Source organism: Homo sapiens, chromosome 2 (assembly GCF_000001405.40).
Source record: "Homo sapiens chromosome 2, GRCh38.p14 Primary Assembly".
Lineage (NCBI taxonomy): Eukaryota > Metazoa > Chordata > Mammalia > Primates > Hominidae > Homo > Homo sapiens.
The window spans coordinates 128,886,821-128,892,820 of record NC_000002.12 but is presented as its reverse complement, the minus strand read 5'-3'; positions in this window follow the sequence as shown (position 1 = coordinate 128,892,820).

Sequence of the window (6,000 nt, the reverse complement as noted above, 5' to 3'; positions counted from 1 at the left end):
CTAGCATAATTTCTGATTAGACCAGAATGAACAGTCCTTTATTCGATCTATCTCATAGAAGAAAGCGTGATTCATTCTAAGGGAAAATAATATTTTTTCTCATCTCTGTAATTTTTTAAAACATAATGCCTCATCAAAAATTATAAAAGGTGCAAAGAATTAAAAATTACCGTAAATGTAAATAAACAGAAAAAAATGAGATTCATAATCAAGAGAAAGAATATTCAATAATTAGCTGACCCACAGATGACCTGGATATTAGAATTAACAGGCAGAGACTTTAGGTGCTATCATTATAGTAAAGACATTAGAAGAAAGGATAAAAATAGGGAATTTTGGTATGGAAATAAAATTCTAAAAAATTAGGCATTTCAGATCAGAAATTATGTGAAATTAATAAATTAAATAAATAATAATTAATTAAATTAATAAAACCTGAGTTTAGCAAAACTATGGACATAGAAAAAAAGATTAGTTAATGAGAAGACAATATTAAATAAATTTTCCAAACTGAGGCCAGAAAAGAGAAAAAATAAATAAAATAACAGACCATGAGTGACATGTAGGACAGAGAAAAGGGAGCAGTATTTGAAGAGATAACAGCTGAGAATGTTCCAAAACTGATAAAAGATATCAACTAACTGATTCAAGCAGGATAATAAGAAAAACACACATAGGCGCTCTATAATCAAACTGCTGAACACCGAAAATAAAAATAAAAGCTGAAAAGCAGCACTGTCCCCAACCCCCTAAAAAGATATGGGAATAGCAATGAGAATTACAAGTGTCTTGACAACAAAAATGATGGAAGCCAAATAATAAACAGATATCCTTAAAGTGTTAAAAATAAAATTGTCTAAACTAGAATTGTATATCAAGTAAAAAATTATTTAAACGTAATTGAAATAAAGACATTTTTAGTCAAACAAAAACTAAGAACATTTGTTTATAAGCAACGCTTACCCTCAAATAAATAATAAAAGCTCAAGTTAACCAAAAATAATACCAGCCTGAGGCACAGTTTTACAGGAAGAAATGAGCATCAGCAAGTAAACACACACACGTGCGTGAACACACACACACACGTAAATATGGAGAACTTTTTTATGTTAAAGACTGTTGATGGCTAAGAACAACAAAAAATGTACTCTGCAAATGATAACATACAGAAGTAAAATACATGAAAATAGCACAGATGGCGTGAGAGTATAAATGGAATTACATTGTTTTAAGATTCTAAAAAAATACTAATTCAAAGTAGTTTATAATAAATTAAAGATGCACCTTGCAATAACCACTAAAAAAGTTAAAAGGACATTACTAAATAGTCCATGCAGAATACAAATGATATAATAAAAATTACTAAGTTTTAAAAAGAAAGAAAAGAAGAACAAGGAAACAAGCAAAAAAAGGCAAATAGAACACAAACTCTAACGCAATATACTTACTGATGTCAATAGGCATATTAAATCAAAATGAGCAAAACAATCTAAAGACAGACATTGTCAGATGGGATAGATGAGAGAAAATTATATGGTGCTTATAAACACATAGTTTAAGTGAAAGGACAAAAAGTCGTGGGAAGGTAAATGGTTGGGAAAATGTGACATGCAAATACTAGCCACCAGAAAGCTAATGTAGCCCCATAAGTATCAGATGGAGTAAACTTCAAGACAAGGAAAATTTGGGAAATAAATAAAAGTATCTCATAATTAAATGGATCAATTTATTTGAAAGACATGACATTTCTAAATCCCTATGTTTCTAATAACATAGCATCAAATAACATAAAGCAAAAATTAGCATAACTATTGAGTGAAAATATACAAATTCACAATCAAAGCCACATAGTTTTACCCACATAGCTCAGGAATTGATAGAGCAAGCAGAAGAAAAAAAATCAGTAAATATAGAGAAAAATTTTAAAGTGCTATTAGACAATTTAACCTCATTGATGACTTAGAACTACATCTAACTTTTTCAGAATCAAGATTCTTTTTAAGAACATGTGGAATATTCAGCAAAATAGACCAAATGCTCAACTGTAATGGAAGTCTCAGTATATCTCAGAGAATTGTAATCAGAGTATGCTTTAAGGAAAAAATAGAATTAAATTTAAAATCAATAAAAAAGACAACTAGAAAGTCCTCAGATATTTGAAAATTAAACAACACATTGCTAAATAATTTATGAGTCTAAGAAAGAATCAGACAGAAATCAGGCTATATTTGGAACTGAGTAGTAATGAAAGTATACTTATGAAAGTTTGTGGGATACAGTTAGAGCAGGGATTAAGGAGAACTCCATAGTGTTAAATAACTATATTAGAAAAAAAGAGAAATGTTTAATATTAATTATCTAAGTTTCCATCTCAAGAAACTAGAAAACAGAAAAGCAAATTAAACCAAGGCAAATAAAAAAATGTTATGATAAAAGACAAATAAATTTTTTAAAAGATGTAAAATGGAAAAAAGATAAATGAAACTAGTTTGGTTATTAATAAAGCTTAGTAAAACCAGCCAACTTTTGTCAAGACTGATAAAAATAAATAAAAGACACAGATTACCAATAGAAAAAAATGAAAAAGGAGACATTACTACAGAGCCTGTAGGAATTAACAGGATAATAGAAGGGAAAGGAACTTTCAGAATAGTAGAGAAGTGGGGGAGGATTCTCTTTCCAACAAAACAACCATTCAACTAGGGAAAATTATTTGTGTTTAAAGAGCTATTATCTGAAGTCTATGGAGGCACAAATGAATTAATGGAGTAACATTCAAGAAAGTAAGATTCAAGAAAATCTACAATAACGTACTAAATGTCAGTAAGAACAGCAAGAGTTAGCAGCATTGGAAGCAGAACATGCTCCCCTCCCCAATCTCAGGTTCAGTATTATGGAAATCACTCCAGGGGTTCCGATCCAGGTGAGAGTAGTCCAGAAGAAAGGTGACCATTTTCCTCTCATCTCCCAGCCTAGAGCTCTTTGTCATAACGGGAAAAGCAGGCCACTGGGGTGTCTCATCTCCTTCAGCTCTGTGATGCATAAGCTCTGTTTGGGCAGGCTCAGTGGAGAAGACCAGTATTTTCTTCCCCAACCAGCCCCACTCATAGGTCAGAAGCTCAGCTCCAGGCACAGTAGGCCAAGATTCCTGAGCCCTGATCACAGTCACTTCCTCCTAAGCTGCCTTATCATCAGGTGGCTTGCTGAGATGGACATGGGGTGGCTTGCTGAGGAAGGACAAGCTAAGATGACCAGGGTCCTCCTTACCCACCTGCTAGTGCCCCATTGTAGGACAGCTATGTCAGAGAGGATGACAGCTATCTTCTGCAGAGGCTCTCCCCAGGAGGAGCAGCAGGTCATAGCAAAGAATGTTGTAGCTCCACCTGAGGGAGTTCATTCAGAGCATCTAAAATGCTTACAGTGTTGTCATAGAGAAATTGGAGATCTAGAGAAAGAGCAATTAAAATAGCAGAGTGCTCACAGCTCCATGACATCAGTAGCAGCAAGCAAAATGGCAGAGTGGCCAGAACTTTAACAGTGAGAACCAGGGAACAAGAAAGCCAGGAAGAACCCTTCTGGAATCACAGTCCACTCTGCTGCCGGGGGCTCCTGTGGGCATGTAAGCAGGTGGAGGGCAGACTTGAAAGCATGCCTCAAGCTGCACTCAGAGGCATCACCAATAGTGTAATTCTCACTGGTACTGGGGGCTTCAGCACAGCCTCTGACCAAACACTGGGTAAGCAATATGCTGCTCTGAACCATGGGCAAAGCCTAAGGAGCCAGGCACAAAAGTGAAGTCATAAACACACCTGACAGTCTGAAAGACTGTGAGCATGCACAAGGTTGGGCCCCCTCAGGTGTAATCAGAGAGACAAAATCTAAGCTTTTGATGCCTGACTGAACGTAGAGCAACAGCATAAACTCCAGGAACTGTGATTTCAGTCCCCAAGTCTCACACACACATCTAATGTTGAAGGGTCAATATCTATCTTGCCAAGAAGGCTTAAGCACAACCTTTGACGTAAAGTGACTTAGGCTGGCCCAGGGGTGGCCCCTGGATAACCAGGTGTATTAGTCAGGGTTCTCTAGAGGGACAGAACTAATAGGATAGATATATAGATATAAAGGGGAGTTTATTAAGTAGTATTAACTCACATGATCACAAGGTCCCACAATAGGTCATCTGCAAGCTGAAGAGCAAGGAAGCCAGTCTGAGTCCCAAAACTGAAGAACTTGGAGTCTGATGTTCTAGGTCAGGAAGCATTCAGCATGGGAGAAAGATGTAGGCTGGGAGGCTAAGCCAGTCTAGCTTTTTCATGTTTTTCTGCCTACTTTTTATTTGCTGGCAGCTGATTAGATGGTGCCCACCCAGATTAAGGGTGGATCTGCCTTCCCCAGCCCACTGACTCAAATGTTAATATCCTTTGGCAACATGCTCACAGACATACCCAGAATCAACACTTTGCATCCTTCAATCCAATCAAGTTGACACTCAGTATTAACCATCACACCAAGCTAAAAGACAATGAAAACAAAAATAAATAAATCTAAGCGGGGATTCAGTGACTGCACAGCCCAGGAAAGACCATATGGTAAGCTACAAAGCAAGCCTCAATAAATTTCAAAGGATTGAAATCATACAAAGTATGATTGGCAGCAATGGCATAAAATTATAAAACAAGAAAAGAAAAGTTATGGAATCTAATAATATGTGGAAATTTAGCAACACTTCAAAATAACTGGAGAGTCAAAGAGAATTCACGTGGGAAATAAGAAAATACCTTGAGATGAATAAAAATGACAACACAACACTTACAGGCTGTGGCTAAAGCAGTGGTCAGATGGAAACCTATGGTTATAAATGCCTGTAGTTTTTTAAAAAGAAGAGTCCCTAATCAATAGCATAAATACGTACAGTATATTAAATTAGAAGAATATTATAAATTGAAAGAAAAAATAAAATGTTAAAGATTACAGTGAAAAAAATAAAATGGAGAATAGAAAAATAATAGAAAAAATTTTAAAACCAAAAGCTGTTTGTAAAAATTAACAGAATTGACAAATATTTGGCTACATGACCCAGAAAAATATAGAAAACTAAACCTACCAAAATCAGGAATGAAAGAGGGTGTATGTGATTATTGACTTTACAGAAATAAAAAGGATAACAAGAGAATACTATGAACAGCCATTTACTGACTTGTTTTATTCAAGTTACTGATAACTGAAATTGACAAATCCCTAAAAGGATACAAACTACCAAAAATGACTCAAAAAGAAATGGAAAATCTGAATAGATCTATAACAAGAGACTTAAGCAGTAATTTTAAAATTTCCCACAAACTAAAATTGAACCCCAGATGGTTTCAATGGTAGTTTCCACTGACCATTTTTTAAAAACAAATTAATACCAATTTCTCATAAAGTCTTTAGAAAAAATGAAGATGATAAAATACCTCTCTACTCATTCTGTGAGGTCACTATCACCCTGATACCAAAACCAGACAAAGATGTTACATGCACAGGAAACTACAAACCAGCCTCCCTTATGACTACAGACACAAAAATCCTCTACAAAATACTAGCAAATGAAATTCAGCAAGTTATATAAAGGATTATATACTGTAACCAACCGGGATTAATCCCAGGAATGCAAGGTCTTTTTAGCATAAGAAAATCAATCAATTAAGTGTATAAATGATCAAAATTATATGTTCATTTCAATAGACATAGAAGAACTTTTGACAAAATCCAGTAGGCTTTCATAATTTAAAGATTTTTAAAATTCTACAACTAGGAATAGAAAGAAACTTCCTCAACCTGATAAAGGGCATTTACTAAAAACTCATAGCTAATATCATACTTAATGGTGAAAGATTAAATGCTTTTCCTGTAAGATTAGAAAACTGACAAGAAGGTCTACTCTTGCCACTTGTATTCAACATTGCGCTGGATGTTTTAGTCAGGCATTTAAGTAAGAAAAAGAAATAAATACCACCT